This window comes from Homo sapiens, chromosome 12 (assembly GCF_000001405.40).
Source record: "Homo sapiens chromosome 12, GRCh38.p14 Primary Assembly".
NCBI classification, from domain to species: Eukaryota; Metazoa; Chordata; class Mammalia; order Primates; family Hominidae; genus Homo; species Homo sapiens.
In genome coordinates this window covers 5,492,036-5,505,490 of record NC_000012.12, presented here as the reverse complement: position 1 = coordinate 5,505,490, position 13,455 = coordinate 5,492,036, and the positions used below count along the sequence as shown (strand labels likewise).

General features: G+C 46.7%; 1 protein-coding gene across 4 annotated transcripts in view; it reads right to left on the bottom strand.

Annotated features, from left to right (window-relative positions):
- Positions 10,192-13,455, bottom strand: part of NTF3 (neurotrophin 3) — a 64,968-nt gene continuing 61,704 nt past the window's right edge. For 3 of the 4 annotated variants that reach the window (XM_047428901.1, NM_001102654.2, XM_011520963.3), the window contains exon 2: positions 10,192-11,297. In XM_047428901.1, the coding sequence (XP_047284857.1) occupies positions 10,503-11,276 (774 nt within the window). In that variant the 5' untranslated portion in view covers positions 11,277-11,297 and the 3' untranslated portion in view covers positions 10,192-10,502. Of the gene's footprint in view, positions 11,360-13,455 lie in introns of those variants that run through there. The other variant, NM_002527.5, reaches the window with a different exon arrangement.

The following is a 13,455-nucleotide window of genomic DNA, read 5'->3' as shown; positions in this document are numbered from 1 at the left end:
GGCTACAGTGTAATGAATTTTGGCAAGAAAGCAAGAAAGTTCCCTAGAAGTGGAGGTGTCATGAGCAGCAAGGTATTGCATGTGTCTGCACAGTGGGGCCAGCGGGCCATTTCCTCCTCTGGGGACTATAGGCACAGACCCTGTCTCTCAGGGGGAGGAGGCCAATGTTATTGAGCACTTCCTAGATGCCAAGCATTGTGCCAACGGCCTTACGTGTTTGTCCTCCATCCTGACAACCTCCTTGTGCAGTAGGCAGACCGGATGTCAGGCTGGAAGGTGGGCCAGTTAGCAATCATTGCTCTCCAAAACCCTTAAGTGATCTCTTACTACCTGGCTGCCCTGGCCCTTCCCCTGGAGACCTCAGGAATTCCTTATGAAGGCCCAGAGGAGGCACCCCAGGACCTGCTATAGCCTACCATGCTTTGCTGGTGTCCAGGTCACTTGTTCCAGCTACAGACAATGTAACTGTCACCCCTGGAGATAGATATTATTATCCCCATTTCATAGTGAACTTGAGAAGGAACGAAACCAGGGAACTTGCCCCAGGTCACATGATTATCGGTGGTGGGATCAGGGTTCAAACCTGGGTCTGCCTAACTTTGGCCACTGCATCACAAACATCACAATATGTTTACTCTATGGATTAACAATATGTGAATGCATCCTCTTCCAGAGGTTGAGGGTCTGATAGCCATGAATTAAGCCTTCCATGTGCACAAATCCAGGTTTCTGAGAAGTCCCTGGGAATGTAGAGGCACGTGCTGGCAGATGCCAGGGGAGTTCTGCAGGGCACTTGCAGAAGCTCTTCTGCTGGCCCACGGGAGGTGTCTGAACACCTCACATCACTCACTCCTGTGGTTTCATGTACAAGGGTGTCTCTTATGGCAGTGTGGCATAATGGAGGGTGTTCTGGACTGGAGGACAGATCTGGTTCTCATTCCAGCTCTGCCCCACATATAAGCTGTGTGGCCTTGGCTAGATTACCTAACCTCTCTGAAGTCAAGCTGGCTTAGTAGGTTGGGTTTGGAGGTGGTTCTAGTGGCCTTTTGGGGGGATTCTCGGAACCCCTTCTGTACAATCTGTACTTGATTGTACAGATTCTGTACTTGACTCCCCTTCTGTACAATCGCAAAGCTCTCATCCTTGCCACTCATTCTTAAGGTAGCCGGGGTGAGCTCCCAGGATACATTTTGTCAAATTAGAAATGTTTTTATATCCTCTTTTAAAGAAGAAAAACTGATGGAGGGTTGTAGAGTACAAATGACTCAATTATAGTCCCAAGAAAAGTCCCAAGAGTAGTTTTCTTGATGCATGCCTAAGATGAAAAGAAAGTGCCCTTGGGGTGCCAGAGGCAGAAACCCAGCCCTGGGTTGGGCAAACCTCCCCACCTCTCCTTGTTGGGGAGCTGCCAGCAAGAGCCAGAGGCACTGGAATTCAGAGGGAGTGGCCCTGCCCATCACCTGCTCCCCACCACCCCAGCCCCCGGGCCTTTTGGCATCTGGAGGGGAATCAGAGGGCCCACCCCTGACAGCAGGACAGAGTGACTGCGTCTTGTTCCTCTGGAGTGAAACAGGTTTGACGGGGTGAAAAGTCCCTGGAGAGACAGAAGCAATACTCTGCGTAATGCCCGCCTCTGTTATGGGGAGAATGTGGTGTAACGTCCAAGGTCTCCTATAAAACATGTTACCTAGTGCTGAAGAACAGAGAAATAATTTGTGGATTGGGCCCTGTGTGTGCTACTGCTGAAACTTGGCTTTTGATTTTTTGGCTAAAAATCCTCTGCTTTAATGACAACCATTAATTGCTCAGAGTTTATGAAAATGTGTTTGACTTCCCTTAGGCATACTGAGATTTCATGCCTCGAATTTCACAGGAGCAAGCATTTCAACCATGAAAATATACAACATGCAACACCAGCACCGCCCTCGCCCAGCCCCCCTTACTCATTCTCTACCCTTTTACTGTATTGTATTTCTTCTAGGCAGTTACCACCACCTAAATCATTTTATCTACACATTTGCTTGTTTCTTTCTTCTTCTTTTTTTTTTTTTCCCTGTCATACCCTCTACAAGGTAAGCTCCATTAAGGCATGAGCCTCATCTGCCCATGTTTGTCATCGTACTAATCAATACCTGAGAAGAGGGCTGGTGCATAGTAGGTTTTGATATAAATTAGTTGAACGAATGCATGGCTGAGTGGATGAATGACAGCTCAATCAAGACATGATGTTCTTAATCTAAGAAGTATAAGCACAGCCCTGGTTCATGATCTTGTATTTTGTTTCCCATAACTACACTTAAAAGTCTTCTTTCAGTTTGAGTCCTTTCCCCAGCGTTTTGCCAATGGAATAATGGAGCCACCAATCTTTGGACTAGAACAGACATCATGATTCTATACTGCTGAGCCTCTTGCCTGCCCTGGCTCTCCATGGATGTCTAAAGAAGTAAAGAGCAACCAACCTCCCTCCTCGCTAATCCATTCTCCCTGGGGCTTGACTCCAGTCCTTCTTCCTGTTGTAATCCCTGTTTATGAAGGGGATTCATTCACTCATTTGTACAACAAACATTATTGAGTGCCTACTGATGGCATAGGCATTGTGCTCAGCATTTGGGATAAAGTTCTGACGAAAATCAGCATGACTTAGGGACTCATGTAGATGACAGCCAAATGGGGCAACAGGGCAAAGAAGAATGACACAAATAATCCCACAGCTGTAATTTCAGTTGTGTTATGTGATAGGATCATATAAATTGTGAGGAAGGGTCGACCATAAGTAACTCAGGAGGAGGCGTCGGGAAAGATCCCCTGAGGAAAAGGAAGGCTGAGCAGGTGGGAATCAGACAAACAGAGCCTAGCAAGAAAGAAGAGCATTTAAGGCAGAGGGAACTCCTGCCCGAAAGCTCTGCAGCAGAAAGGTGTTTGCCCACTTCCAGGATTTTCTTAAGAAGGAGGAATCTTTTTTCCTAATAGACCAAGAGGCTTTCAAGGAGTCAAATTAACAACTGAGAAAAGTTCTAGCCCAGAAAATACAACCACAATAAGTTCTTTTTTTGACAAGAATCTTTAGATCTCAGCTTCCCAATAGCTGGCTTTTTCCTTTAAAATACAACCTGAAATGTCTCTGATGGTGGTGTCTGAAGCTGGCTGCTAAGGCCTACGGCCCTGCTGTGACACTTATCTGAAGATGCAGATGGTGTGAGTCTCAAAATGGTCATTTCTTTCTCCTCAGCAATCTCCAAGCATTTTTCCCCCCCAACTTCCAAAGTGATCAAGTGGGTGAGCACATAACCCTTCTGAAATGGAGGCCAGACCCATAGATCCCCATTGGGAGTCCAGATTCCCACACCCTGATTCGCTGATGAGCTTATGATTTGGGCTTCCACTGAGCTTAGACTAGAACCATTTGTACATGGAGAGGCTCACCTATGCTGGATTACTTCCAAATGAACAAGAGGTGTTTTTTCATAATTTCAAGCATACTTCTATCTTAATAACCAGCTGTCTATTGGATACCATTACTTTGATGTCCTCTGAGAACCTCGCACCCAGTGCCTATAGTTCCTATATAGTTCCTGTCTTCCAATCCACTGTCTTGCTGTCTTCTTGCATTTGATTTAGAACCATCATGATTCGAGAAGTGCTAGAGTCATCTTCCTAATGCCTTCCTCTTTCGCCTTCCACATCCACTTGGTTACCTAATCTTGTTGACTGCATCTCAAAAATGCTTTTCTAATCCAATATATCTCCTCACTCCTATTGTCTTCTCTTTAGTCTAGGCCCTCACTTGTGATCAACCTGATCAGTCTGTCCCCAGTCCATCCATCAGTTATACTGCCACCAAAATTATCTTCTTAAAAAATGCAGAAAAAAAAACCCTTATTGACTCCTCATTGATTAGTGAATCTGATTCTCCAAGTGTGTAGCAGCTGCAGTATCCCTGGGAACTTGCTAGAAATGCAAATTCTCTGCCCCCACCCCAGACGTGATGAATCAGAAACTCAGGTGATGGGCCCCCCACCCCCCGCAATCGGTTTCAACAAGCCCTCCATGTGACTCTCGTGCAAGCTCAATTTAGGAGATCCCAAACAATCAAATCCAACTTCATAGCTGTTCCCCTCAGCCTTGAATTACTTAGTCTCAACTTCCCCTTTTCCACAGTCCTAAAGTCTTCATTACCCCAAACCTTCCACTTTTCTTTGCATACATTAGGCCCTTTCCCCATTCTGCACTTTTCCCCCAGGCTGTTCCTGTCTAGAATATTCTCGCCATCTTTCCCTACCAAATTCCTACTCATCCATTAATAGCCAGCTAAGAGGTCACCTCCTCATGGAGGCTTTCCTTGACTGCCTCAGGCGAGCATTTAGTTAGTTGAGCTTTGGTTGACAACCTAGTTACAGCTATTTTGTCTGTAGATGTGGCTTTAACATTGGAAGGGGCTTTCTATTATATGGTAAGAGCTGTTTCAAATTAGAGCAAGCTGCCTGGTGAGGGAGAAGTGGTTATCAAGAGGCCGTGGGAATTGTCTAAGCGGCTATCCCTTAAGGTCCCGTCTTTTCTACTCATTGCTCCTCCAGGAGGGATGGCTTCTCATGTGCAGAGCCCATAGAGTTGAGAAGAAAGCCTGGAGCCTAGTAGGGACTTGACAATTTTTTTAAAAAAAGTATGAATGAATAAAAATAGATCTCTGCCTTGTAAGGAAGGATAGGTTACTGGATCTCAAAGATTTTGTCCAAATTTGAAATTTCTGCCTTCTATCTATTTGCAAAAGCCCCAAAGGGATATTCCAGATGTGCTGATCCTTATATTTTAGGCAGAAGCAAAACCACCTTCCCCCTAGCACAGTGATTCTTCAGTCGTTAGGTGGCGAATGAAGGGTTTGGGATAAGAGATCCACTCCTCCTCCCTAACCTCCTGAAAATGTCTGCTGCCGTAAGCCAGTTACCCATGAGTCTGGCATCTCCCTCAGGTAGAACAATTGTCGGTATCACTGCGGCATTGAACCTATGATCTCTTCCTGTGTGCCAAGTGCATGTCACCCTCCTCGCTCCCTCCAGCCCATTGCAGTTCAGCTGTCAGGGCCCTCTGAAGCACTTAAGTGTCCTCTCCACTGCTGTCTTACTCACATAGTTAAGAGCATGTGCTTCCAAGCCACGTAGACCTCTTGGTTTCCTATCTGTGCATTTCCTTTTACCAGCTGTACAACTTTAGGCCAAAGTCCTCAGTCAAAAGTCCTCAACTGCACAAAACGGTTAAATCTACCAGGGTTGTCACTGCGTACCCATGGAGATGTGTACACAGTGCCTAACTTGGAGGAAGCAGCCACCAATAAGAAAGTTTATTATTATTTATTCCTTGGTCTGATCTCATCTCCACCCCTAATCCCAGCACCAGCTTTGAATGCTTTTCCACCAAGTCAGAGAGCCCACAAACCCGGCTCCTTCTGTTTAGGCTGCTTGGAGTCTGCTGGATGCCTTTTCTGTCTATAAATCCTCCACCCCATCAGCCTGTTTTCAAGCCCCAAGAATGTTCACTTTCCATATGCTCCCCAGCTGGCCACCAGTGCAATCTCCTAGAGGTTAACCTTGTGTTCAGGAGCATTCTTTTGCAGGCATTACCTTTCCTTAAAAAAATGCAATGCCTCTCCGGTTAGGATATCAAAGCAGCCATGCACACACACACACGCATGCATGCCCACCCATTCATATGTCTCACGTGAAAATCTTCAAACTCATTAGGCTGTGTTTCACAATTTCCCAATAAACGTTCACGTTTTCTTGCCACAGAGACTTCTATAATTCACCTGGCAACGGCATTACTGAACTCTGCAACAATTCAACCCAGCCCAACTCATTGGTGGTAGGCAGTTCCTAGGAGAAAAGGCTTCTGACATCCTTGGAGTTTTCCCCTTCTCCACACTTCCTTGCTTCTCCCATCCCTGGCCCCTACAACAGGCATATTTGTGCTTGTTTCATTGGCCTGCCATACCCTGCAACCAAACATAGGTTGAGGATTGTAGGAAACAAACCCATAGTCCCTCGGAGTGCTTCTAACCTGCTCTGTGGCTCTGCCCATTCAAGCTGGGCCAATCTCCATCTGAACCAAACAGAAACCCAGGGGGCTATGTCAGCACAGAGACGTCTGCATCTCAGCTTGCTGTGAAACAAGTGTGCTTTTTGAGAAGCCCACTCGCCCACTGTAACGTGGGCAGAGCATATGTGAGGAGTTTGGGTCTCCTTAGATTTGGGGGTGGGGTCTTTGAGAAAGAAGGTTAGGCTGGAGAAGTTTCCAGCTGAATCCATCTTCAGTGACTGCGGCTGTTCCTGGTTGTGGTCTTCAGTGACTGCGGCTGTTCCTAGTTGTGGAACAGAGCATGTGCGAGGCCCTGGGGCCAGGGCTGTGGAGGGTGGCATGTTTGTTGTGGACAGTTGGCCGCTCCCCAGGCTTCAGAGCACCCTCACTGAGGCAGAGCCTATGGTGCAGCTGAGCAGGGCAGGAGTTCAGCGAGGCAAAGCCAGGCTTCACCGAGGACCTGGCATTGGCTTTGCCAGGTCCTTCAGAGTTTGAAGCCTGGGCAGGGGGTGCGTCTTCCTGGTGAAGCCAGACAAATCTCCAGGTAACAATAAACTGATTACACAGCCTTCATTCCTGAACACATGTTCAAAAGCGATAAAATAAATGCAGATGGCTTCTCCAAGCCTCAGTGGAGGATTTTTACATTGACTAAATGAACTATAAAGCACATATAGACACACATGTGCTCACACACAACACAGGAAAGGGAACAGCAACAGAAAAGTCCTCAGAAATACCAAACCCTAAAACACCAACACCAGCCTAGAGGAAGCATTGTTGAACACGAGAGAGAGACAGAGACTGAGAGGCAGAAACACAAGAGAAAAGCCGTGCTATAATTTGCAAGGAGGAAACAAAACATGCATGCACACTCACACACTCACACATGTACACATCAGAGAAGCATGTCGGCAGAACTTCTAGCAAAAAGTTACATTTCACTACCTGGAAGGGTTAGAAATACCTTCCCTGGTTTGTCAACTGAGGATTAAAGGCCTTGTCAGTAAGACTGGGTCAGTAGTTTGGTTGAAGAGACCTGCAGAAAGGAAATGGGCAAATCCCACCCTAAGGTCCACCTCCCGTAAAGTCCATGATTAATACATGTTAATTATGACTAATCCTCCACTACGGAGCTTGGAAAGTCCCACCAAAATTACAGAATGAGGGATCCTGCAAACCTTGCAAACATCATCATTAACGCTGAAGGAGGCTTCTTATGTGCCAGGAAATGGATGATTTTATTAGATTGCCAAACAGTCTTATGAAGTAGCCACTATCCCCACTTTACAGACAAGTAGACAAAGGCTCAGAGAGACTAGATAATAAGCTCAAGGTTGCAGTCTGTAAGAGGGGAGAATTTTAGAGTCTCACATGTGGCAGAAAGGAGTCCCATCAACAGGCAACAGAGCTTCTCACCCTAGCATTCATTAAGGAAGTGAAGATTATTCATCTGGACTCTGCCCCTCTCTGCAATAGAATCTCATGATGTTGAAAGCCCCAGTTAGGACAAGGGAGTTATTTAAGGCCATGCAGCTATTGGCAATAAAGTTGGCCCACACCCCATTTTCTCCTGTGCACTCAAGTTCTTCACACTGCAATATACCTCTGCTTAATGAAGCCCCTGCAAGAAACTAAGCACTAAGGGAAGATAAGGAGAGAGTGGAGTTTTTCCAGGAGCCAGATACTAGCCCTCCAAGCCTCTCCTATCTCAGAGATGGGTTTAATCTTCAACTAACCCCAATGGCAAATGTGTACATTAGATAGAAACAGGCCTCCTATCCACCTCGAGAAGGCTCTGCCCTGGGTCCAGAGCTAACACGTTGACTCTGGCAGCATCTGAATAAAGTTACTGACATGGAACCGGGTATTGCCACATTGCCCTGGCCTTCCGAATGAGTGAGGCTGAGCCGTCAGATGGCCTGCAGCCCAGAGTTCCTTTTGGGAATATTTCTGTCTCATCCCCAAGTCTCTTCTCCTCAGAGCTGCACCTGCCCAGAAGCATGCTACTCCAGACTTGCTCTGGACAAGCCAGCAAACTCCTTGCATTCCAGGCAGAGCTCAGGACTCAGCTCTACTCCTTAGGGTCAGTGCCCCGCAAGGCTGGGTTCTGGGGTCCTGTCACTGAAGACCATCTCCCTAATAAACCAGACCACCCTCTACCATTCAGAAGTTCCAGAAGAGGACCTTAAAGGCACCTCAACTGTAGGCCTGAAGATAGAAAGAAAGGCCATATGATAGGCAGGTGAGGGAGCATTTGCGGCAACTCAACAGATTTCTCCAACTTTCTAGAATCCACTGTTAACCAGGGCCATAAAACTGCTTCTTTACATTCTTGTGTTGCTCCTGCAGTGCTGGCTAAACAATTGAGACTCAAGCTTTATAGACATGCGTCAGCTGCAGTATCCCTCAGCCTGCTGTTTTAGGGGTGGAGGGCTTACTAGAAGCCCAGGGAAATGGTCACTTTGAAATGACGAGCTCCTGATAACTGGGCTTGGGCTAGTCCTAAGACTCTCCTTGTCCTATCAGCTGGTTTATTGTGTTCTTGATGAAGGCTCAGTGAAACAATAGGACAAAAGGTTCCCATGCAGAGGGCTGTGCTTTTCATATAACTAGGACTATAATACCCACTCTGAAATGTGATGCTGCTATGTGGGAGAGGGAGAGACTAGTGCCGAGGGTTCAAGACTGTGCCATCATTGCCACGTAGATTACAATCTTCACTCCGCCACTTACTTACTAAAGACCATGGGCTAGTTGAACCCACCAGCCTCAGTTTCCTCGCCTGTAAACTGGAGATGATACTGGCTCCCTCAAAGGATTTGTGACAATTAATGGTGGCAGGGTTTGAATATGCCTGGCCCATGATGGGCACATGGTCAATTCCTTATTTCCTTCCCCCATATTTTAGGCATCCAAGATCAAGTGCAGTGTCATGATGTTCCTAACTAAGGCTACTGCTATTTGCTGAGTCTATTTCAAAAGTTCACATCCCATAAAGGACACATTCCATACAGGTGTGTGCTAAGGAGATGTCAGTGTGTAGGACAGCTGGGCCCTAATGAATGCAGGGCAATCCAGGTTGGGCAGAGGGCGGGGCTTCAGGGCAGTGCTGGATTAGTGGACACCTTGTACCTCCGCCAAGATGGGAGATGAGCATCCTTATGTTCCAACCCCAAGAGGATGAGCTGCTTCTCAATGGGAAATGGGCATCAACAAACTCCTTGATGGACATCCCTGGTGTCCCCTCAGTCCTGCCTGGGCATGACAGGTGAGGCCATCACCACAATGACCCCTTGGCTGTCATGGACTCCTGTTGGGACTCAGAAGGCACCAAGAAGTTCCCTTCCATTTAGGCATTTTACATCTCGGGGGGATGGAAGGGAATGGGTGAGGTACTAACATTCTTGAATGCCTGCGCTATGCTAGAAAGTTTCAGGGGTTATAACCTTCCTCGGACGTAGGCAAGGACCGCTGTCTGACTCTGACCCTAGGAAGCACAGGCTCGGAGAGTCTCTAAAACCTGGACAAGCTCACAGGGGAGGAGCTGGAACTTGAACCCAGGTCCGACTCCAAAGCCCTAGCACTTTCCAACTCTGCTCACAGCTCTAGAAGGGGCTGGCAGATGAGGAGGGGTGGTCACAGGCTGAGAGTCGGCCATAAATAAATTTATCCTCTATGTATAGATGATTCATGATCCATTTCAGTTTGCTTCTGGGTAGTCATGCAATTATTTTGTTACAAATAGTTTTAAAAAATTCCTATGTGCCTAAAAAGATGAAACCACTTGCAAAAAGCAAAACAAAAACCAAAGCCAAAACAAAAAAATTCAACCCTTAAACAACCCCAAACCCCAAAACAACAAATGTGCTGCAAAGAAACTTCCAAAACTAAAATTGCCAGGGTCGTTGTTATTGTTCCAGGACCATAACACTGGAGCAAATCATAATTCTAATTTGCCAAACTAACAGCAGAGAATTTGATATAGAACTTGCTGGCCAGAGCTACAGGGTATCATTTTAAGTAAGTGCAGGCCATAACAGTTCTTTTAATTCATTAACCCAACATTAAATGTACCAGAAGAGGGATATAACTGTGTTTATACACAACTCTGACATCATCTGATTTTAACAAGTTTACTAAAACAACAGTCATGGCCTTGACAATACTGAATGCAAAATACTGGTGTACACAGATTTTACAGAGTGACTCCTGAGAGCCGGATCACAAAACAAGTTTTAACAGATGGGAGAGGCCTGAGGGAAGGCAAGCACACTGATTTTATTGAGAAAAAAGCTTATATACTGTAGGGTTGCTGAAGTTTAATAAATAAAGGTCAACTTATAATATATAAAAACAATATAAACATTTATATGCTACATGCATATCATATAATTTAAAGTAATAATTTATATATGGGGAGAGATGCCAATTCATGTTCTTCCGATTTTTCTCGACAAGGCACACACACAGGACGTGTCTATCCGTATCCACCGCCAGCCCACGAGTTTATTGTTCTCTGAAGTCAGTGCTCGGACGTAGGTTTGGGATGTTTTGCACTGAGAGTTCCAGTGTTTATCATCAATACCCCTGCAACCGTTTTTGACCGGCCTGGCTTCCTTACATCGCGTTTCATAAAAATATTGTTTGACGGGAGAGTTGCCCGTTTTGATCTCCCCCAGCACCGTGACCTGGTGTCCCCGAATGTCGATGGCCGATGACTTGTCGGTCACCCACAGACTCTCACTGTCACATACCGAGTACTCCCCTCGGTGACTCTTATGCTCCGCGTACCGTTTCCGCCGTGATGTTCTGTTCGCCACCACGGGGCTGCCCACGTAATCCTCCATGAGATACAAGGGCGGGGGCTCCAAGGGGGTGCTGTCGCTCAGCAGGACCCGCGGTGAGTTGTAGCGTCTCTGTTGTCGCAGCAGTTCGGTGTCCATTGCAATCACCGGCTGGAATGCTGACTTGGCGGGCCCTCCCCGCTCCGGCTCTCGGGGAGCCTCAGCTTTGGGCAGGGTGCTCTGGTAATTTTCCTTAACGTCCACCATCTGCTTGGAGAGCTTGTTTTTCAAAATATCTGCCTGGATCAGCTTAATAATGAGGGAATTGAGCGAGTCTTCTGGCAAACTCCTTTGATCCATGTTGTTACCTTGGATGCCACGGAGATAAGCGAGAAATATCACATAAAACAAGATGGACATCACCTTGTTCACCTGTAAGATCTGAAAAGGAAACACAGGTGTTAAGAGCAGGCTCTGGCAGCTGAGTCTGTGTTATTCTGGCACCAGCTACCTGAGGCTGAGTAGCCCTGTGAGGGCACGAGAGAGGGTACCGCCCCCCAGGTAAGCAAGGCAACTCCCCTCTGGACATTCTGAAGAGGTGATTTCTTTCCCCCACCCCCGGGAGATACTGCGAATGCACTCCAGGTCTGCCGACTCTGCTTTTTGCACGGGTTGTATTTACATTGGATGTCTGCTTTATCCTGCGGTCTCTGCTTGTGGGTGGACGATGTCCTACCGCTTCTTTAAACATCCCTTGAGCCTGCAAAGACGCATGGTTCACTCTACCTTGGCAAAGCATGAAAACTTCAAACCTGAGAATTGTAAACATGGAGTAACTTCCCTTCAGCAGCAGCAGCGGTGGCCTTGTAATTGTCTCAAGAAAGAGTTCGACTGCTCCCCAGCTGCAGCCCCTGGAACACACTGAGGCTGAGGACTGGTTCAGTTGCCCCCATATTGCAGTGTCAGATGTGGGGTCATCCCTGGCCAGGCCGCAGCTGGAACGGTCTATTCTCCTGCCCTTGGAAATGAACATGTAGGGCCACTACCCACTCCGCGAGAGGGCCTACGTTCCAGGGTGCTCTGCCGAGCTTTCTGATACATACGCATCACCAACTGATCTGCTCCATCCCCGGGGACGCTCTCCACAAAACGCAGCTCTGCCACAGCACTACTTGCAGAAGACAGAGATGCAGAATAACCACCTTACATAAATGGGCTGGACTTGCCCAGAATAGAAGAGTCATTGTTGATTCACTTGCCTCCTTTAGATTTTTAACATTTCTGCTACAAAATGTTCCTTTTAGTGCTTATGCTTCTTCTAATTCTACTATTTCCTTGTTGAAATGGCATTTCAACCCATCCACGCTCTCATTCTGTTGCCATAGTAGAAGCTTAACACCGGACTCCGGTGGCGTCCTGGTGGAATTACAGTGCTGATCTCAAGACACCTTCATTGCTAGTCTCTCCCTCACTAGAGCAAAGCCCAGATGTTCTGAGGGTAGCACTGGAAGGAGATGCTCCAGGTGGAGAGGGGCAGCTGAGCTAGTGATCCCCGAATTCGTCCACCTCCTTGAGATATTCACTCCTTAATCACCATCGCTGCCACCTCACTGGCTCCCAGGGGGGTACATCATTTCCTCTTTAAAGTTCTGTCCAAACATGGAAAATAAAAACTCTTCCCCTGGTTCACCTTTGGTATTTTCGGAAAGACTTTACTAAGTCCAGGGGGAAAATAGAGAGGAAATAAACAAAGCCGACACAAGAAACAGAAAAGCAGTCCTGCTAACCAGCACCTATGTCTGAGCCTGCCAGTGCTCACTCGCTCCCAGGACTCACAGACAGCCTCTTTCCCAGCTTGTCTGAAATACTGCCGGCTCACTTGTCCCTAGAGGTCAACAACAGTGAGGCACTCTGCTCATACTGCCTCCTCTTGCTGCTGTGATAAGGAGACCATCTTCTTTCCATGGGAACTAGTCTTTGGGAAAACTGACTCCTTCAAGGTCAAAGCCAAGAGAGGGATTCTAGCTTTGCTGCTCACCCTTAGAGATGACTCTAAGGAATTGTACTATCCTAGGAAAATGGTTCCTCTACAGCATAAGGAATCTCCCTCCTATTCTGCATACAAGTGACATTTTCTTCAATATTACAGGCCCAACAAAATGCAACTTGAACAATACAAAAAATATGGCATACAACTAGGATTACATTCTCTACTCCCCTCAAAAAGAATAATACAGCTGCAATAAAATCATTTAGGACTGAGAGTCTATTGAAAAACAATTTGTTAAACCTCCCAAAAGCTCAGCCACTGTAAGCTAAGAATACACAGGATATCCGCTCTTAAGGAAATAAATCAAGTATGGTTAGTGAGGGGAGGTCCCAGGTAGAATAAGAGTCAAGGTACAGATTAGTGAGGTAATGACCAGGATGAACTGAGAGGGAGAATGCTGGCTGATGCTGATGGATTGAGGAGGAAAAAGTAAGAGTCTTTATGGGTGGTGGCTGGAATATGGAACCAAAGTTTATTAGAAGTAGATAAGCCATATAAAGAGGCCATCTAATCTTATTCCTTCATCTTATAGATGAGGACAACCTAAAT